General features: G+C 35.2%; 1 protein-coding gene across 30 annotated transcripts in view; it reads right to left on the minus strand.

Moving 5' to 3' along the window:
- Positions 1-23,471, minus strand: part of IKZF2 (IKAROS family zinc finger 2) — a 152,759-nt gene that overhangs the window by 117,498 nt on the left and 11,790 nt on the right. The window contains exon 3 of one of the 30 annotated variants that reach the window (XM_011510818.4): positions 1-23,471. This exon is cut by the window's left edge and continues 19,319 nt beyond it; it is cut by the window's right edge and continues 7,149 nt beyond it. The exons of the other annotated variants lie outside the window; for them this stretch is intronic. The gene's annotated coding sequence lies outside the window, so the exon portion shown is untranslated. 30 annotated transcript variants of the gene reach the window in all.

Raw genomic sequence — 23,471 nt, forward strand, 5'->3', positions numbered from 1 at the left:
TTCAACACTGCCTCTCCAACACAAGCCTTACGAGATACTGCCATTCAACCCACAGTTACTGAATAATCATATCTCACATTTATTGGAACACTTATTATATGCTCCATACTTTGCTAAGAGATTTAAAAGCTTAATATCATTTAATTCTCCCAACAGCCTTATGAGAGAGATGTTCTTCAACCCTTTAGGGCTGAGAGGAATGAGGCATGGAGAGGTTAAGTAACATATCCAAGATCACATAGCTGGTAAGTAGAGCCAAGATTTGAACCTAGGCCCCAGAATTTAATCAGTAGTTATTGAACACCTACTCCAGAAAAAATGCTAGGCACAAGGAGCTGCTAACTGCACAACAGTCAAGACATGCTCTGCTAAGGGCAGGGGCTCTAACAATTACTCTAGGTCTACCCTCTTCAAATTCTGATCCTGAGTCCCTACATCCATCACTGCAGTCACTGCAACTGCATTTATTGCCACTTGCACCAGAAGGCTAATTACAATACTTCCGTTTCCCACTCTTGACAATGAACAGGGGAAAGTGTATTTCCCAAGTTCTGATTTGTGATTTAAAATGTATTTCCTCATAGTGTTAGTTTGTATAATACTATTAACCCTACTACAATTGCCACATTAACTAAGCCTTTTTATTGTTGTTTCTTTCAATGGAATTTAACCACCATTTTTAGCAGTGTTTCAAGTGAAAAGGACATTCTTTAACCCCTTCATTTTATTTTTAAAGTTGTCATACAAAAAACATGAGCATTTTTTTCCTTTTAGCATTCAGTTCTACAACATGCATAGATTCTTATAACCACTACCATAATCAGGATACAGAACAAAAAGGCATTCTCATTAAAAAAAGAGAGACGGCTTATAAATGGACTTAAAAGACAATCTCTGTTACATTAATGACTTTTTACTCTGTCTTCCAACACACCAGGCTTTCCTTCTATTCTAGAATAAGTGAATTGGACACCACAATAGAAACACTTGGTATATTTTTGCAAAATATATTTTGTATACCTGTGGCTTTCCATTTTTAAGGATATTTAGAAGCTGTGGTTTTATAGGGGCTTTATCAAAATGGTTGAAATTCTTTTCCATGGCAGAGGTTTGACAACTGTGGAAATAATTAAATGAGCACACCTTTTCAACACTACACATGACTGAGAACTGCTTATCCAGAAGAGACTAGCTAGGTGGAGGGCTCTGTTCTAAGACTATCGAGTATATGTTATGTGGTATTTAAAGACATTTGTAAATGTGTTCTATATTTGTAAAACTATAACTAGAAGTTCCTTATATTAAAACAAAACAAAAGTAAAAAACACTAACTCTAACAAACTGAAAAGGCAGTTGAAAGAATATTAATCAAAGTTCTTGTTTAGCTTTACAGATGCCACCTAAAACTTTTTTTCCCAGAAAAATTTTTGGAACAGGGTCAACGAATGGCCAAAGAGTCACTTTCAGATTCTAATATTCTCTAACACTTTTGTAACTACAAAGTCAGTCATCAGTGCTAATATTTTGTGCTTGTGAAAAAAGAGTCTCTACTCAGGTCTGGTACTACCTTTGGGCTGCAAAGACAGTTACTTTAATGGTATTAATTTGACAGAAAACAAAAGAAAAATAATCACTCTCCCAAACTTCTTCTCCATACCCTCCAGCATAATCTGGTACCTGAAATCTCCATTATCAGAAATTTACTACTATGGCTTGGGAACCAATTTCTAGAGACATCTCTATTAAAGCATTTATGCCACTATAAAACAACAGTAATCTATTAAACTATGTCAGTCTCAAAAACCTTAGCTTGAATTCATTTACTTGAATTGTTCTATGACAGGATGGAAAGCTGGGGAAAGGGTTCCTAGTGTCCACAGACAGGTTTTGGTTTGAATAAAGAAAGATTGTGAAGACACGTATCAGAATCACGCAACCCTGAAAGGCAGGCAGGACTGAGCAGGACAGTGAAGCAACAAGCAAGTACCACAAGGGAAGTGGGTTTGCAAATGGAAGTGCTAAGAAAGAAAAAAAGAATAGTAAAAGGGGCCCCAAAACAATTCATAGGTAATTCTCTAAAGCCAGCCCTATCTGTATAACCTTTGCTAGGGCACTGGTGGCATGCCCCCTTCCTGCATTCTAAGTACTCATCCTACCACAACCTCATTTTTTTTAATGAAATAGGTCAGCTCGACAAAGAGCAAATGACTGAGATGAAACAAATTTCCCTAACTTTAGTCAGAGGAAGTTTCATAAAAAATCTAATGCTGCGAGCCAGCATAAACAAGAGATGAAAGTGTGGGAGACAAGAAACATGAGAAGGAGGAAAAAAAAGAAAGGATGTACCACTGTTCTGTTGTTATTCTGTTACAGATGACACACATAAGGAAGTCCCTAGTAATTTTGTGTATTAATACTCTACCCTATGATGAGGCACAGCTACAGACATATCCATCTTAGTCAGCTCTGAGTTATAAGAATATGCCTGAAGCCAAGATGAATGGACTTGGGTACTGAATGCAAGGCTTTCTCTACAGACTCGGGTTCAGAGGTCACCATCATATATGGATCCCTACCACATCCTGTGTGCATAAGGGCATGTGATATCAGATTAAAATTGGCCTTTACTAGCAATCTTGAAGGAGAAGAAAAATAATTAGTTAGTAGTCAGTAAGTACCTGGCAAAGAAAGAAGCAGTCTCACTTATTCGACTTTAGTGAGATAGTATCTGTTTGTTTGGAGAAAAGAATTTGCTGTTGAAGGCAGACTACATGTTATGTGAGCCCAGGTCTCTCCCTCTTTTCATTCCCCAGGTAAAGCAGCCAACTCCATCTCTCTTTCTTCAAGGCCAGTTCCTACTCCCATCCACTTCATGAAAGTTCATTCACTCTCCTTTTAGTCATTTGTTCATAAAACAATGGGAAGTGGTACACCTATTCTCTGCCAGGTACAGTGGCAAAATTATAAGTACACAGATGAACAAGACATAGTCTGCCCCAGAGGAGCTCAAAATCTAATATGGGAGACAAAGACATAAAACAATAGCAATACAATGTGGTGAATACTATAATAGATACATGTACATACTCAGTGCTATAGAAATATGGGGAATAACTAAAAATTCAAATAAGCAGTTACACTGGACCTTTGAAAAGGATTGAGAGTTTTCCTGGTTGAGAAAAAGTACAGAAATCCAAGGAAAGGAGAAGGATTCATGCAAAGAAAAGGCAATTTGAAAGAATATGTTATATTCAAGACATGGCAAGTATCTGTGGCTGAAGCACAGTATATGTGAAAAGGAATTTCAGGAGATGAAGACAAAAAGATAGATTGGGCTGTTTAGTAAAGGCTGTAGTATAAAATGCTAAAGAGCTTATTAGACTGCATTCCTCAGGTAAGGGGAGTCATTCAGAAAAAAGAATGGCAAACAAATTTTTGTAATAGAAGTAGGTGACAAAACTACAGAAAGGCAATGATTAATTCTATAACTCTAACTGGAAGGCAGATGACCTACAATTAGTCCTAAGAAATCACTTTATCCTGCACTTTATATATTTATTTATTTTTGAGACAGTCTCGTAGTAACCCAGGCTGGAGTGCAGTTGCAAGATCTTGGCTCACTGCAGCCTCAACCTCCTGGGTTCAAGGGATCCTCTCACCTCAGCCCCTCAAGTAGCTGGGACTACGGGTACGTGCCACAACGCCCAGCTAATTTTTTGTATTTTTTGTAGAGACAGGGTTTTGCCATGTTGCCCAAGCTGCTGTACTTTAATTATATGAAAATAATTTTACTATGTTTGCCTAATGTCTCAAACTCCCATCTAAAATATTAAACTGCTATTTAATTTTTTTATTTATGTATGATGTAACTGTGAAATCTGATTCTCTTTAAAGGAAAAAATGCATTCTTCTTCTCTGTCCTATACACAATATTTTTCATAAAGTACTAAATAGATACTTGCTGACTGATCAAGATGCATAATAGTTATCCTATAGGATCTTTTCTAGAAACTAGTTTTATGCTTTCTGATTCCGTTTCTATTATATAATATTTCTACTGATTCTATTATGCTCCCTGATCCTATTTCTGATCTATTTCTTCAGACTGTTGGAGAAATATAAGGTCAACCAGGTAAGTATTTGTACAAGCGCATTTAAAATGTTGAGCTCTTCTTTCCTTTTGGCTCCAGCTCATGGAGATATGGCTTCCTATCTTAGGCAAATCAGTACTTGGGTGCTACACTGATACCATTAGCTATATTTCTTACATTCAGTAGTAATTCAATGTGGAAGCTGGAGTTCTGAAACTGTTAGCAGATCATGTATGATATTCCTGGAATTCTACCAATATTCTTTCTAACATTCATTGAGTTGCTATAAATACAAGGACCATTATGAAATGTTTGTGATTACCCCTGGCATATTACAACTTGTGGAATACTGGTCACTAAACATTTTGATAGCCTCTTTGAGGTACAATAAAGAAAAACAAAACTTCAGCAAAGGCCTTTTATAACCACAGCATTGGTTTAAAATGGCCATTATTACATATTTGTACAAAAAACTAAATAGAATAATATCTGTTTCCATTCTGAAGAGTTCCTTCTCAGTTTGGTTAGAACAGCACACTAATCAGCTGTTGAAATCTAAACTGATTATTTCTGAAGTGTCAACAGATGCACAAACTCCCTGGCTGAAACAGGAACATGTGTCTATTTTGTGTCAACAGGCTGAAGGAATACAACTGAGAGAGAAGTGCAGAAATAAATAATAGAGAGTGTAATAAAATACAGTGTGAAAATATTCACATGATTTTATAAAACATCTCAATCAAAAAGACCTAGAAAGCCAAGCAAAGGAAAAATTATCAAAGGCAGGTAGAGGAAAAGAAAAGACAGACAGAGAGACAGAGAGAGAGGGCAAACCACAATAATAAAATTATGCATATATGCTTACATTTTTAGTTTTTTCTTGAGAAGAGCTACAACTCTCCCTGCCTACCACCCAACCCTAAAGATGCAGTTCAGTCACGTTCTTCTACCATCTTCTGAAAAGCAGAGACTATTTTAGTGATTGATGGTAAAATGCTGTAATATCTTAGCTCCTTGGAGCAACCACTATTTTCTTTCCCAAGTCCCTGCACATATACTATCTGACAGTATTTCCTAAACTTGCCTGATTATCAGAATTAGAGTCGCAGGCTCCTCCTCCCTTGAACACTTTGTTTGATTCAGTATACTTGAGTTGAGGTCTGGGACTGTTTATTTTTTTCAAGTATCTTAGATGATTCTTACGATCAAGCAAGTTTGAGAAAAAGACCCTATGACATAACTATTTTAAAAATAAATTGGTTTTAAGGATTATTCTTTCCTAAGAATTTCATAATGTCTCTTGCCATGATGGCAGACCAGAAAAGTACTACGTGACCTTGCTGAAACACTCTTACCAAATCTGCAGTGACATAATTAAATGGGCTAACATAGCTCTTAAATTTATATCCAATCATTTCTCAGCCAGTGATTCTCCTACTTAAATAATTCTCCAAACTAAAGTAAAGAGGTGGATGACAAAATCTAGCCTAGATAATCAAAAGAAACTCCAATCCTTCACATGGCTAGATTTTGCCACAGGTGACCTGGAACACGTGATATTTCTGCAGCTAGGGTCAGCTCCTCCTCAAATGTTCACACAAAGACGAAGCCAGCTAATTTCCCTGTTAAATGTGAGTGAGTCACCATCCTAACGATTTAGATTGCTAAGGTGCACATATTGAAATATATGCTTCCCGGCACAATTCCATATCCAATTACAACAGTAAATCCAATAAAGGCACAGTAAAACTGCCACTCAGGCAAGGGAGAAATAAGAAGTCATAAGCTAATTCAAGTGTTGCTAATATCCTCAGAGGAAGAAATGTGGATGCCTACAACCACTTTCAGTAGACTCCATATTATCTTTTTCACCTAGGAATCTTTCTTAAGAAATGTCAGCTGGAAAACCGTGATGAATTTCCACAACCTAAGCAAAGTAAAATCCTGAAAGATGATCATACTTCCTTCATGTGAGTTTTGTAACATCTCCCTATAGCCTTCTTCACTTTATGTCCTACTTTTAAGCCTCAAAGCATCAGGTTTTATAGTATCTGCTCAAAATTCTATGCACAAAGTCAAAATTGTATATGTAAATGGAAACATAAGCAATGGATTTCTGTTTCCAAAATAGGCATAGTTTTTGTACAAAATTTTATTTTAACCATAAGTTATTTGAATTGTCGAATAAAAGACTTAAAAGGATATACCTAATGTAAATGACAAGTTAATAGGTGCAGCACACCAACATGGCACATGTAAACATATGTAACAAACCTGCTTGTTGTGCACATGTACCCTAGAACTTAAAGTATAATAATAAAATAAATAAATAAATTAAAAGAGTAAAGTGCTTAAAAGTAACAATAAGATACAAGTTATTGAAAATAAATTCAGGGTTTGGTTTGGTTTGGTTTTGTTATTTACCATACTTAACATGCTTTACTTGCAGCTGTTGGTACAAAGGTGGAAAAAGACATAATATATATGTTAAGCACTACACCTAGAGCATCATTCCTCAGAAGAAATGATGATAGTATTCTAAATACAAGGGCCAATGCAAAACACTCTAAAAACCTACATGAAAGCCTGCTCTACAAGCACTAATACATAACAAAGCATCTAAAACTTGTGAGATATTTAGCTTGAGTCTTAGTGAAAAAAAAAAGCAGTGACATTTCAGACAGGCAGATGAGGGCTCAATATAAGGAAGAACTTTCTAAGAATTAGAGCTGATCAGCAATGGAACAGTAAACTTCCTTTCCTCTAGCACTTGAAGCAGTCAAGCAAAATCCCAGAGACCACCTGTCATGCATGCTGTCAAGGATATTCTTGCTTTGTTAAGGAAGTTGTTCTAAATGACCTTTGGGGTCACTTTTAAGTAACTGATTCAAGGATTATTTTCAGTGAGATGAATGGCATGGGTGCATGTCCTTGTGTGCACGCACACATGCGCTCGCGCGCGCGCGCACACACACACACACACACACACACACACACACACACACACACACAGCCACACAAAAGAACTTGGAAGCCTGATATTTTTAAATGTGATTTTACAGGCAAAAAGCAAAGAAGATCAATCAGCTCTGTCATGAAACTGCCATTGTGCAGAAGGGGGAAAGGGATACAGGTACAAGCCTTCTGCCTAGGGATTATCTTTAGGTCAAAGAACAAACCCAGGTCCTAGGTAACCTTCAGCATACTCTCTAACAGTCTGCAAACCATCCCGTTCCCGGGACAGACCAGGAGCTACAAAACTACACGACACACTTGGATGCATAATTTTTCACGTACAAGTGGATATGTCATGCAATGAACTTTCTCTGCTCTCAAGAGTATTTCAGTTTCCCATGTGTAGAAAGTACAGGGTGAGTCTAAACCTGAATAAGTATACAACTTATTTCCTGAATAAGTATACAACAACAACAAAGTACCAGGTTTCATCTTTTCTCAAGGGTAGGCTTTGCCTATGTGTTTCCAAGGAATTCAACTTGCTAATCAATTGACAAACTCAGAGTTCTCTACCAGTCTTGAAATAGGAAAGAAAAAGAAATCAGGTCCTTATTCCTTACATCCTGCACAAGGTATCTATTCCCTTATACCTCACCTAGCAACTTAAATGTAATTAATTGTATAATTTTTAAGTAAAGGTTTATTTTTCTTTCTGTATTCTTTGTTTGCTACTTCTTATTAGATACACAATCTTTTCCCCTAATAGAATGGCTATATGGATGACAAGGTTTCTTGATATAAGAATTCAGATTTCATTAACCCCTGAACTTCATTGAACTGCTATGCTAAATACTTTGGAAGGGTTTCTTATGTGATTTACCAAGATAACTAGTGAAATTAGAGCAGATACAGAAATAAAAGTCACATCTTCTGTTCTAGAGTGTATAACATTTGAAAATTTCTACTTAACATCAAATCATCCATTCCCTGCCATTATCCTTTAATAAATATGCCTCAAATCATGAATCACGAATAAAATCTTTTTTCTCTCTTTCTCCTAGTTCCTAATAGAGTTTTTAATTATAATTTCTCCCAGACACTGAAGCAGAAATATTCTTCAGGAACAAAAATTAAATACAGAATTTCCAACCAACAAACATTTGAAATTATGTTTAAAAAACCGTAATTAAGAAATGTCAAACATACGTAGATACCATCTTCCCCCATTCAGATGAACCAAAATGGATAAAATGCATTTTTGTCAAGGGGAGAAAACAGACACTCACATATTACTAGTTGTAGTGTAAATTGTTATACTTTCCAAAGAGCAATTTGGCCACACTTTATCTACTAAAATATTCATTGCACAGACTTCTTGACATAGCAAATACACAGCTAAGTTATCCTAAGGATGTAAAGAAGGTAAATGAATGAACAAGAATATCACTGAAACAATGTCTACATAATAACAAAAACATAGAAACAACCTAAATGTCCAACAGTGAATGAGGAGCAAATTAAATCACCATGTATCATCAGTGTATAAAGGTATTATATGCACCCAAGAACAACGTTGGTATTAAAAAAAAATCCTAAATGAAAAATTGAGTCATAGGGCAAGTATGTACCATGCAACCCTATTTGTACTATTAATAGGAAAGGAAACAAAATATGTAGACACATGATTTGTACTAGTATATACCAAAAAATTATGGAAAGATAATTAAGGAATTGGTAGCACAGGAAACTGAGGACTAGGGTACTTGAGTGGTGGAGCTTTTACTTTTCATGTTATATCTTTCTCTACCGTTTTAACTTTATACTATGTTCCTATATCATTTTTACCTAGAATCTCTATTTAGACTGCTCTTTAGCCCCACACTATGTCAGAATTTTGTAATGCTGGCCACATCCCCTGTGGGATGAAGTTTATCACCCACACCCCATCATCCCTAGCACTATCATGCCATAACACCAAAGTTCCAGTTCAGAACTTACGTAATGGATGGTTTCAGGGTTGACATTTCCCCTACCACTTTTCCCATTTCTTCACACCCTTATGTTATGTGTGTTGATTTCTGCCTTTCTTTCTCTAAAATCTAAGCTCCTTTGAGAGTAGGGTCAATGCTGCCTTAATCCTAGCTTCCCACAATGGCATCCTAGGAGGTACCGGTAATAAATAAACATTAGAGTTGTTTTTTATGAGATTATCGTTTTAAGGTTAAAATTGTATTTTACAAGAGAAGAATTTCCTACTTTCCTGACCATATAGAGTTGGTAATAAATCACCTCCAGATTACAGAAAGAAACACTGAGATGCTTTAAGCTTATAAATAATTTGTAATTATTAAACAACAAAGTAAATGATGGTAAAAAGGAGACAGAAACATTTGAAATAGTTTTAAATAAAATTTTTCAAAGAAAAATGCAGACTTGCAATAGGTACGTCATATGGTACAAGGGAACACAAAGAAAAAGAAATTTGATTGAAGAAAAAATATTATAATAATTTCCTCATTTCCAATACTGTCAAATACAATTTCAAAAAACAAAGCAAAACACATTGGTTTCAGCTCACGGTACACATTTATAACAGTGAATAGGAACTACACATCAGAATGGAATGATTATTGATTTCTTAATGGATTACTGCTGCACAAATTTACACACACCAAAAAACCATCAATCTTTGGGTAATAATTATAAACCTATCACAGCCCATACAGCATTCTGACTGAATTGAAAGTTACTGCTATCTGCCGGGAAATGACCAATTTTCTATTTCTCCAGCTCCAACCACAATATGGAATGGTGAGCAGCTACTTACATCAAATGCTATTACAGGACACGGTTTGTAACAGCCACAGCATACACCATTTGTAAATTGCTATTAGAGAGGTAAACAATCAGGTCCTGGTGGAATTTTCTTATTATTCATTAGCTATGAAAACTGTAAATAAAATGGGTATAAGGCAGTTACACTTATCAAAGACCTTTCATTAGTGGCAGGTTGTGGAGAAGGGGTCAAGGGCAAACAGTACATTAGTTGAGGTCATGCTGTTCTGACTTTACATACTAATTTCAAACCTCTTCCCAAATCTGCACCAGAATCTCTGTAACTATAAAACTACATAGTTCTCTTTCTAAATCCTAAGGATGTTCTCAGTAAATAGCACTTTTACTAAATATCCAGTGGAATACCAATACAACTAAGATACTATTTTCCAAAAAGAAAACCCCATTATGTCAGTTTCACCTAGCAGTCCTTAATCATTGAATAATGATGTGATACGGTATTGATCAATTAAGTTTGTAATTGTCATATTTTCCAGCTGTAGTAGTATAGATAACACCACTTCCTTCCAGATAGTTCATCCCATTCTGAACACCTTATTTGATCTATATTACACACAAATAGTCCTAGCATAAAGACAGCTAATCCAACCCAAATAAAAGTAATTTGAAATCAATAACACACTTGTTTACATTTTCTCTTTAAGTCCTATCTATCATCAGAATTTTTGGTTAGATATGTCAACATTCTTTTCTAAAGAATTATAACTGCAATTTTTCCACCCAATTAACTAACTTAAGAATACATGTATTTCCAAAATATCCTAGGAACTAAAGAAATTAGATTTGATTGTTTTTATAAAGCATTTCCCTTCCTAAGAGGCTATTAAATTACCATGATGATCAACCATAATAATTAAAATACTATTAAGTATAATATAAAAGCAAATAGAAAAAGCTAAATAAAGTTACCATTATAAAATAAAATAGATTTGTGAAATACCACAATAGATTTGTGAAATGGTGAAATGTGAGGATGCAAACTTGTTTTGTTTGTCTGTTTAATAAAAAAGGTATTCTAAATCTTAAAACAAGGCAAAACAAATGTATTTCCTAGAATGCAAGTGGTAACTTTAGAATGGGGTTGGTATTCATTAATTTTCAAACCCTAGAAGCCTTATCTAATAAATATTAAAAAGCTATATGCAAATATTTGCAGTCTATAAATCACAACAGCAAACGTGCCAAAAAATGAGCTAAGTGCTCTATGCAATTGTTACATTTATTTCTTCAAAACTTAAGGCAAGTATTATTATTATTATACCATTTTACAGCTGAAGGAACTAAATTTAGGAAATCTAAGGAACATTCCTAAGGTCACACAGCTATTAGGTTGAAAAACAATGGAGTGTCAGTAATCCCTTACGGCTTAACCCAAAAGTAGGGTGCACAGCCAGGACTCCAAACCAGGTCTATGTAATATGAAAATCAGTACTCTTAACTACTTCTACAGGGCCTCACCCCAAAACATAAGAGTGTATCATGTAAAGCAAGGAACACCAAGCCAAGAGTCAGAAGATAAGGTTTTGTTGTTGTTGTTGTTGTTTTTCAGACAGAGTCTCACTTTCTGTCGCCCAGGATGGAGTACAGTGGCATGATCTCAGCTCACTGCAACCTCCACCCGCCAAGTTCAAACTATTCTCCTGCCTCAGCCTCCAGAGTAGCTGGGATTACAGGTGCAGGCCACCACACCACACTAATTTTTTTTTCTTTTTTTTTTTTTTTTTTTGTATTTTTAGTAGAGACGGAGTTTCACCATTTTGGCCAGGCTGGTCTCGAACTTCTGACCTCAGGTGATCCACCCGTCTCGGCCTCCCAAAGTGCTGGGATTACAGGCGTGAGCCACCACATCTGGCCAAGATAAGGTTTTTTAATCGTTGTTGTACTACTCTCTCCCCATGTGACTTTCGCCTCAATGTACAGGTTTCTAAAATAGAGGGTTTAGAATGAACACTACAGTGTAAAACACTTTGTTTGCTTTATAGACACACACAGAGAATTCTATTTATGGAAGGGAAAGAACAAGGAGTCAGTTCATCTGTGAGTTCACATTTATTGTCTATTACATTCCTGGCCCTACTACATGAATGAACAAGCCAAATGTTCCTCAACTGTGTGTTGGGAGAAGAGATAAATACACAAATTAAGTAAATTCAGATACTATTAAGTATAATAAAGAAAATAAAACAGGATAATGTCATAGAATGCCTGGAGAGGGGCTTATTTATCTAGGATGCTCAGGCAAAGCCTCGCCAAGGAGGCGACAGTTAAATGGAAATAAGAAAAGAAGGAGGCTTTCATGCAAAACAAGGAAGAAAACGTGTCCCAAACCAAAGAAACAGCAAGTACAGAGGTCCTTAGACAGGAACGAACTTGCCATGTCCCGGAAAAGAAAAAGGGAAGAGGTATTAAAAGTTCAGTGAACAGGGAAAGAATAGAGAAGAGGAAGTCAGAGATGGAGGCAGGGCCACAGCCTTTAGGACCTTACAGACTTTGGAAAGGAATTTTAGTTGTATTCTAGTTTCAGTGGAAAGCTTTTGTGTTTAAAGCAATGAATTGTTATGATCTGATTTGGGTTTTAGAAAGTCAGGCTCTGTCTATTGTGTGGAAAACAAACTACAGAGAAGCAAGAATGGAAGCAGGAAGACCGGTTAAACTGTTGCAATATTTTAGGCTTAAGGTACTAGGAAATGATGATAGACTAAAGTTACAGTAGCGGGCCTGGTGAGAATTGTTTAAATTCAGGATGTATTTTAGAAGCAGAGCCAAGGATTTCTGATAGACTGGATGTGGGATTTCCTTTGAGGAAAGAAACAGTGCTAGATGCAGAGTTGAAAGTCATGAAAGCATCTACAGTATCTAAAGAAATAAACTGAGAAAGAGAGAAGAGGACCTGTACATAAAGATATACAGGCTGCAAATAGATGAAGGTGAGTACCAGATGTTTTCTGCTCACTAAGTAATTGGCAGCTATTGATTGTAACACTTCTAATGAAGGCACACCTTCTCTATTTCTTCTCTTTAGATAGGGACACTAGATCTTGTTGTTCTATCAAAAGCTTCTAGTTTTCTGATGTCCTCTAACTGGATCATTTCCTTTATCCCAATAGCCAGTAATCTAGAAAATAAAAACACTTGGTAAAAACAGAAACTCAGAAACAAAAACTAATCACTAAGCTAGGGTCTCTCACAGGCAGGAAAGAAGTCAAAATACCAAAGCATGAGAGCATTTTAGAGCAATAAATGCTTTGTTATAAACTGACAAACACAATTAATAGACATCAGTCATCAAAGCTGTGCCTACCTAGAGACATGATCCTGAGAACACAGTAAGATCCAAAATATCCGTAAACTTCACACTTGAAAAGGAAGCATTTGGGGGAGCACTGAAGTTCCCCACCAACCTTAAGACCCACCCAAGCAGGGAAAAATCAATTTTAATTGTGATTTAAAATAATCTTACTAGTAGCTGAAAGTATTTTACAGTAATTCAAAGGAAAAAAATGTCAAACAGAAAATTACAGATTGATTACCACAAACAGTTCTTTTTGGCACATAAATGCATATGACTTGATTATCATTAAATTGCTACTAAAAATATATGGATACAAGCTTGAATTTTCAGTTCAGTTAGGATTAAGTACATTGCTTTCCTATATATGCCAGTTAGATATTATGGGCTTAATTCACAGAACCATACGCCAAGCAAATTATATTTCATGAGCTTCCAAATAACACAAAATTTTTTTGTAACGTTAAAGAAAACAGTGAAAGAGATACAATAAAAGATTACTTCTTAAGAAGATGATCTGTTACAATGTAAACAAAGAGAATACATGGTATTCTTCAAGCTATTAAATATACTGCCTTATTTCTTGCAGCTATAGGAATGATTACAAACAAATGCTTGTAAAACTAGATAATGATTGCTCATGTAACAAATTGCTTGGACATATTTAAGCAAATATTTCTAGTAAGAATTCAACTGAGGGGGAATGTAAATGTTGGGATAAAACTGGGGGAAATATCTTTTGTAAAGATTGTGTATATGAACCCAAGTACTGTTACAATAATTGTAGACAAATGTGATAATTATCACAACTCCTCTAAGAAAATGGAGGTCTGGCTCACAATCTGGAATCAACAGAACTGTCTTAACAGTTTTAAGGGAGAGCCATTTGATTCATAGGATTCTAAATGATCTTTGAGATTTAGCTACTGGATTAAAGTTTATTAAAAACAACATTAGAATTACATGTCATTTTCATGTATATCTACTAAATGACTGATTTATGACTTGAAAGATTTGGATCATAAAGATCAGAAATATTCATTACTCAAAATAATAATAGTAACACTAACTTTTAAATTGTATCTTTAAGATTTTCCAATAATACCTCTGACCTGTTTGTATATACATTTCAAGATTCTCTAGGTATCCCTTAAAGTGTTTTATAAAATCCATCTCTAAATTCTAGAGTGACACTGGCTGAAAAGATGTATATTTTGAAGCCATGTGAAGCTTTTGAAGTCATGTACTTGAGAAGCTTTTAGTCCAATGTAGTATTGTTTGAATGAGTGTTGAGAAAAGAGTTAAAAGTTGTCTAAGCTAGAGCCATCGTTAGAGCATTTATTTTAAAACTGCCTTCTGGGTAAGACTAGCTGGGTGATTTGGTCTCTGGTATCCTCAACACAGATAGCATAACTGAAGTAACCTGTGGGGTTAATCTGAATAATAATGTCTGGAATAACTGAGAGACGTCTCTAATGCATTCAGTCAATCAGATAACCAACACATAGGGATATTAACTCACAATATATTTTAAAATAAACAGCAAATCTTCTTAATTGAGAGACTACTATGTATAAGGCACTGTGTTAGCTTCTGTGGAAAAGATAAATGAATATTTCTTAAATTATTTCTTAAAATGTATTAGGCCCTGTGATAAAAGCTTTACTAAGTTTATTAACCCTCACAACAACTCCAAGAGACAAGCACTAACTTTCCCTATTTTACAAATGAGGTAACTAAAACACAGCATAGGAAAGATACTATCCCAGTCGGTTAGGTGCTAAAAGTCATATTCTGTCTGCTACCCTCAGGCTGCAGAGATTACAAAGTCATTTTCCCTGCCCTCAAGGAGTTTCCAGTCACACAAAGGAGATAAGATGTACTCAAGAAATTAAGCAATGATAAAACAGGATAGGAGGTGATAAAGGCATCCAAAAAAAAAAAAAAGATCATTTGGAATTAGGGATCGACTGTCCTGTGCCTATGACAATAGTAACTCTGACCCAAAAAAGGTGAAACTTCACTCAGGAAAATGTCTGTTTATGTGTACTCTAATGTGAAATCCTTTTAAACTGAATATTCTGTTTTCTCCTTGATTCTACACAAGAGAGAAAAAAAGAACACTGCTGGGGTATGTATATGTGGTTCTGAGAATTCCAGATATGCAACAGAGACATGAATTTAATATAACACATAGAGCACCATAAGTATGGAAATTAATAAAATTTCAGAGCTATACTAGGAATTCATTCACCAACACATCTAGTTATACAAGTAAATAAGTCCATCCTAAAAACTCACTCTGGACAAGGTCACCTAGGGAGGTACACCAAGCAGCCAAGACCTGCCAGCAAACACATCTTCTGAATTGCCATCCTCAAATGAAATGCATTACTACCACTTAATTACCATTTCAATTATACCCGTCACAAACAGAGTAGGTTTATGTGTGATTCAATTTAATTAGGTAATTTTACTTTCATTTCTTCAGTAATTGATTTGAATACAACAGAATTAATAATTGTCTCATATCTGCATACACATTTCTTTTCAAACAAAAATTCTGAGTCTGTCTACCTGACAGCACTCAAACAGATGAAAAGCAGAAATATTCAGTAAGTGATCCAGATATGTTATGTTCCATGCAATGCTTTGGACTAATTTTTAAAATTATTGTTGATTAAAAGCGGACTAAAAGCATGTCCTTCCTAGAAGACTATTTGATATATGTTTGTGGGACCTGTTTCTTAGTTATTATGTAATTCAACTTTTTTCTCATATTCTTTTTATCTAACAATAAAATAGGAGCTATCATTCTGGCTAACTTACCATGAGCCAGTCACTGTTCTGGAAGCTTTACATATATTGTGTCTAATGCTTACCACTCCTCTGACAGAGAGCAATATCCCCTTTTTACAAATAAAGCTGAGCTTCCAAGAGATAAAATATCTGTCTAGGGGCCTCACATTTGACATATATTAGGTCCCACTTCTTTATATACCACAGAGGGAGAGAAACAGGAAAACTTGCTCAATTCTGTAATTTTTAAAAACATGTTTACTGGCCAGGCACGGTGGCTCACGCCTGTGATCCCAGCACTTTGGGAGGCTGAGGTAGGCAGATTACTTGAGGTCAGAAGTTCAAGACTAGCCTGACCAACATGGTAAAACCCAGTCTCTACTAAAAATACAAAAATTTGCTAGGCATGGTGGCAGGTACCTGTAATCTCAGCTTCTCGGGAGGCGAAGGTTGCAGTGGAGCCGAGATCGCACCACCGCACTCTAGCCTGGGCGACAAAGATAGACTCCGTCTCGAAAAAATAAATAAATAAATAAATAAATAAATAAAATAAATATTCACTATTTTCCAGTAATGCTAAGTACTATCAAAAAGAGTAGATTACTCTGACACTGGTTGCATAAATATTAAGCTCAAGTTTTGATCAGCACATTCTATGCTAGATGTAAAAGCATTTTGAAAAAAGTACCTTACAAATAAAATGGTATTCTTAGTAGACTTAAAATTTGTTTTTTTAAGCAAGTTAAACATATACCCTGATCTTTTTATTATTGTTATTTATGGGCTTAGTAAACCTTTTCTTCAACAATGATACACATGTAAAGTTTATCTCACAACTGATAAATTTTTACTACAGTATTAAAGCAGATTAATTTTTTAAAAATGTCTCAATGGGTAAAAGCCAACCTGAGCCTTCTAAATAACAGAGTATGATCTCAAGAAAGTCTTCTGGAACCCTCAGTGCCTGTGTCTTAGACACTTCGAGAGGAAAATGGAAAAACCAGCGATCAGAGGACAAAAACTGGATGCAAAACCTCATCTCATCTGCTCAATATCAAGTTCCTTCTTCATTGCCATCTCCCAAGAGGGGGAAAAAAAGCAGAGAAAGTTCTTTCTGGCAGCCTTACAGTCTCCCTAACCCCCTTCCAATCTCCTTTCCCACTAAACTAAAGTAAAAAGACAACTGAGGGGCAAGATCAAAGTTTACCGCATCCACGATAATTTAGGAATACGACCAGTTAGGATATCTCTTACACACACAGTATAGTACACAATCATTTTTGCAAAAGATAAAAGCAATAGATTAGTCCAAGATGGCCACTGATAATAGCACTGGTTTATAACTAATATAACTTAATAACTAGGCACCACTAACTTTTATCCTGCTTTAATTGGCTAATTGTTCTAGAATCAATCCCTTAGGACCCAGTTCTTTTAACCAATCTACCCCCATCTCCTACTCCCTGGCTTTCAAATATCTGAAGAAGTATGCTTCTTTCTCCCGAATCTAAATGCTTATTCATTTAGCTTCTACCAGAAACCATTCTAATCTTATTGCCACATTCCTCATCACTTAAGCAGGCAGCTTCCTTGATTCACTTATAAATTCTGATTTCTCTTTATTTATTTTTTTGTGAAGAAAGAAAAAGGGGAGGAAAAGACGCTATTTTTCATTTGCTCTATTGCTCTCTCCAGTGGATCTACTAACTCAAGTGGAGTCTGTGGCTTGTCCTCCACTTCTGAATCTGTTATTTTTATTCTTTCTTTCTTCTTGCCAGCTTTCTTCTATGCTCTCTATACTTCACAGCTCTGCTCTTTCTTTTATAGGCCTTAAGTTATTTTCGCAGGTCCTACCTCCATTAGCAACATACCAGAATTGTCTTGCTAAAAATAGTTTCTCTTTAATAGTTTTAATGTAAAAAATTAGCAACATTCGAGGGAATTTTAAATTGATGAATATGAAAAAGAGACTAAGGCTCTTTTTTAAAAGTAAACTTGTTTGTTACATGCAAGATAGAATTGAAAATCTATGTTTTAACTCATTCTACTCAGATTTCTTTTGCCATCAGATGCCACAATGTCTCCTTAATATTGATATGTCATTTTAATATTTATATGTACATTATTTAGTGTATGACACTTCATGCTATGAATGAATATTACTCATAAAACAATTCAGAGTATATAACATTATTTGGAAATGCCACTGTAAACAACCTAGCCAAGTGTGGTGGCTCACACCTGTAAACTCAGCTACTCAGGAGGCTGAGGCGGGAGAATCACTTGAGGCCAGGAGTTCAAGACCAGCCTGGACAACACAGTAAGATAGTGAGACCCTGACTCTAAAAAAAAATTGTTAAAAATTAGCTGGGCATGGTGGCATGCACCTGTAGCCCCAGATACTTGAGAAGATTGCTTGAGCCCAGGAGTTCCAGGCTGCACTGAGCTATAATCGTGACACCGTACTCCAGCCTGAACAACAGAACAAGACCCCATCTCAGGAAAGGAAAAGGAAAGAAAAAGGAAAAAAGGAAAGGAAGAAAAGAAAGAGAGAAAGAAGAAAGGAAAAGGAAAGAAAAGAGAAGAGAAGACAAGACAAGAGATGAAAAGAAAAGAAAAGAATACAATGCCGGGCACGGTGGCTCACAAGCTCAGGAGTACGAGAGCGCCTGACCAACATGGTGAAACCCCGTCTCCACTAAAAATGCAAAAAAAAATTAGCCGGGCATGGTGGCATGCCTGTAATCCCAGCTACTCAGGAGGCTGAGGCAGGAGAATTGCTTGAACCCAGGAGGCGGAGGTTGCAGTGAGCCAGATCGCGCCACGGCACTCCAGCCTGGGCTACAGAGCGAGACTCCGTTTCAAAAAAAAAAAAAAGAAAGAAAGAAAAAAGAAAAGAAAGAGCCGGGGGCAGTGGCTTTATGCCTGTAATCCAGCACTTTGGGAGGCTGAGGCAGGTGGATAGCCCGAGGTCAAGAGTTTGAGACCAGCCTGACCAACTTAGTGAAACCCTGTCTACACTAAAAAATAAAAAAATTAGCTGGACGTGGTGATGGGCGCCTGTAATCCCAGCTACTCGGGAGACTGAGGCAGGAGAATTGCTTGAACCTGGGAGTGAAGGGTTGCAGTGAGCCAAGATCGCGCCACTGCACTCCAGCCTGGGTGACAGAGCGGGACACTGTCTCAAAAAAAAAAAAAAAAAAAAAGAAAAAGAAAAAGAAAAGAAAAAAGAAAGAATAAAAGAAAAAGAAAATACCTTATATTTTGACTAAATCTATAGTAAAATAGTATTCAATAAATCTGAAGATATCATTTGTACATGAAAATGCCTGATTTCAGTATTTATCATTGATGACAGCTGATCATTTTTATGAGTCTATAATTTTATTGAAATTTCAAAGTTAAATGGATGTAATCAGAGCTACTATCAGTTTTCTGGCTCCATACTTTCTTTTAGAGGATGGTTGACTGAATTCATTGGTCTTTTCTTTAAATTACACAAATAATATATGAATTTATTTTTTGTAAGAGACTTAAAGAATGTAGAACTATTTAGAATAAAATATAAAACACCCTGTTTACCCTCCGATATCCCAAAGTCAACTATATCAAGTTTTGACGTTTCCTTCTTGTTCTTATTATTTGTTTTCACACATTCACACGCATACACATGCACATATATGCTTTTAAAAACATAAATGGTATTATCATATACATAGAGTTGTATGAAATCAATTGTCTAGTTAACTATAGCTTCTCTGGCTGAAAAAATATCTCTTCAAATTTGTTACAGGTATTGTACTCAAAATGTAACACCAACTAAAACTATTCAAATGCATCCCCAAAACTTTATGCAAACAGCATTACTATGATTTATTTATGTAAAAAATAATTTATTTTAAATTGTGTTTTGTTGAGGTACGGGGGTGTTTCTTTTTGTTTTTATTTCCAAAAAAAAATTAAATCTAAAACTATCATTAGGTCATTAATGTGTCATAATTCAGACAGATGGCAGTGTGTAAATTCATGCTTCGAGAACTTAAAAACAGCAGACTCACAGAAAAATCTCATATTTCTTTTTATAATTCTCAGTTATGTCCAGACACAATCTATTGCTGCTTTCAAGTAGTTTTCAAAAATGTAATAATGTAATAGAAGTCATTTTACATTTCCAAATACTACATTCGAGTCAGTGTTTTTAAGGCGTAAGTCATTTTAAAGCAGTACACAAAAATGATTAGGTACCACCTATTTTTAGTACCTAAAAATTATTGAATAGCTCAATTTTCAAGCTTTAGATGATATTTGGGTGATCTGAGCAAGCATTTCTAATAGAAATAGACCTTTTACAATCACGAATTAAATATACATCCTCAGCCCTAAAAACTATAGAAATGCCACTTTTCAGTCTAAAAAGTAACAGATGTATTGAAAATAAAGTCATCTACTTCAGACCATCTGAATAATAAGCATATTGGCATAAGTCTGATTAGAAGACCTATAAGATATTTCCATATGTAAATATTACTTGTTAAAATGTGTATTTTTAAACAACAAAACAAGGATATTTATGAAAATGGCCATGAAAGAAAATGTTTTATATACTTGTAGAAGAAATTATGCCTATTTAGAACTCAACCAGAAATTCTCACTGTTAATTCAACTGAAAACACAGCAACGTAGTACCCTAGCACTTCAAAATAAGATCAAGTCCTGCATGTTGAATGTCTTAGTAAGAAGTAGGTAGAGCTGACATAGACAAGGGTAAGGAGAACTACAGCTTCAATGATAATGAGAGCAATGACAAAAACGTCAAAAGTGTAGACACCCAGAATGTTAATTTATTAGAACGTGACTTCACACTGATTAATTATACACTCATCAAAATATCTGGAGTGCATAAGAAAAGCTAATTGAAGCATTCCATCTTGTACATGCTACTAAAAACAGTTTAAGTGATGGAGAACTGGCTTTAAAATTACAAGTATATGGAATTAAATCTGTAACCTTAAATGTGCTATATCAAGATATTAATAGTAGTAATGAAGATGATGATGGTGGTGTCATGGAAACATCTACATTAACATTCATGTGGATTCCACTGAACATGGTTGTATAGAATCAGAAAACATAAGAACTGTTTAGAAACTTAGAGATCAGCTTTTGGGACCAATTTGAAGATTACAAAATCTTTTTCAGAGTGAGACATTATAAAAATAACACATCCCCAAACAGAGAAAATCACAAGTAAATTAGGATTTTTGGATTATTTCAACAACTAAGAAATCAAGTTTCCAAATTTTTTCAAGTAGATCAGAAGCATACTATTTAAACAGACATATGTAATATGCTAATCTTAAGTATTTTCTTCATTCAACAAATATTTACAGGGCTCCTACAATGCATACAATGCATATGCTAGGGATGAAGAGATATGACCATTTTCCCCAAAGATTCACATCTGGAAAACCTGATTAATTTCTTTATAATCAAGGTGTGGCCCACAAATAAATCTATATGCTTTGAAAAGTTACTTAATTCACACTCAGTAATTAAGACAGCTTTCCTACTAACTAACATGAAATACAACAGTTTGCTATAAAATCTCATTTGATGCGGTCAGATCACTTCAATAATTTCATGAGACTGGTTTGGTGTTTTTTTTCCTTCTGACCTATAAACTGGAAGTGCCTCTATATCACCAGCTAACTTAAGGATCTTTCCTAGGTGGTAGTGCTATTTTCCATCTTCATCTAAAATAGATATTAAGAACTCTTAAACTGCTGACCACATCAGCTGTCGAGATTTCTGTGAATGGAAGTTCGAATTTATGGCAATAGTAGTTGAAGGAAGTATCCTTTATGGGCACTATAAGATTGTCTTCATAAAGTTAGGCTATAAAATCAACATTTTACAAATTAAAGCAGAAATATAAATCACACTAAAGAAAATGAATGGATCTCAGGCCAGAAAGAACTCGTCGTAACCTGATTGTATGTATTAATATAGGTTACAGACTGAATCTGGGGGATTTAGCCTAGGAAGCCAAGGGGAAAAAAAAATGAATCTCAGAAGTATTTTGGTTGAACTAGGGAATCTAAATCCATGTCCATTAAAAGGAGAGGGAACTGGACAAAGGACTTCAACCATAATTATCCAAATAGCAATGCTATCTCTATTGTGATGCTGAATATATTAGGTTCTCTTAGTCTAATGCCATTAAACATTTGAATTATATAACTAACTCCCTTTATTCAGATTCCTTGCTCAGTAAATGACCTTTACTGATTACCCATATAGGTCAGTTCACAAGAACAAAATGATCTAGTCAAGCCAACTGGAGTGATCCAGCTCCTATGTTTGTTGGTTGCATGTGTGTGTGTGTGTGCTTTATTTTTAATCAATATCTAAACATAAATTGGCATTCTGATTTTAAATATCAGTTTTGTAAACCTGTTTAATGTCAGTCAACCTTGAGATACAGATCCACTCTAAGTGTGCCACAAATCTAGTTTCAGAACTTGCAAGGATGAGTGCCAAATCCTGCATTATAAATAATTTTGTGGGGAAATGTTATCCTCTGAGAACCTATCTAAGTGGCTTGTTGCCCTTTTGTCTGTTTCACTGTACATCCTCAAATTTACACACATTTGAAAAACTCTTGGAGGTAAAAGGTGAGAAGCAGCTCATTAATCTATAATGGATGTAAGTCACAGTTAGCACATCACACTCATTTACTTCTAAATGCAATAAGCAGTATTACGATCTCACACAAAATATCAATTCATTTGGACCCTTGAAGATACCATCCTTCTCTAGAAAACACCCCAAACCTATTTTTTGAGCCCCAGCACCAGCAATGCATCATACACAGTAAGTGCTTAATAAATGTTTGCTGGATCAATGATCGAAAGATGAAAAATATCTCTCTAAGGAGTTCTGAATCTCCACATACAGGAAATCTCAGAAGAAGTGTTTCTAGCATTAACATTCATTTGGAATTCTATGGTGTCTTGGGTAGTCAGCGCTTACATTTTTAAGATGGAATTCTGTAATAAATATTTCAGAATAATTATGCTGATTAAGATGTTATCTATGCTATACTGTCCCATCTAGGTAACCTCATCCCAAGGGGTATGATATTATATTTTTAAAATATTAATTCTATACAAAATCATTTTAAAATAATATATATTGTATCTGCATATTTATCTCAAAGTCTTCAAAAAGGCTCTGGTGAGGAGTATTAAATTCCTTAGCTATTAATGTGGCAGAACTGGCCAATGTTTAGCTAACAACCTGTAATAAGTATGTAATATTTTCAATAGCATATTTATTTATAAGGAAACAGGTTACAGAATAAAGACAGATCATTAGAATAGAGGCACTGGAGTATATGGCATACATTAATCTTATGATTTTTTTTAAAAAACAGAAGTTATGATATTAGATATACCACAAAATGTTGAAGAGCTTTTTGT

Source organism: Homo sapiens, chromosome 2, assembly GCF_000001405.40.
Source record: "Homo sapiens chromosome 2, GRCh38.p14 Primary Assembly".
NCBI classification, from domain to species: domain Eukaryota; kingdom Metazoa; phylum Chordata; class Mammalia; order Primates; family Hominidae; genus Homo; species Homo sapiens.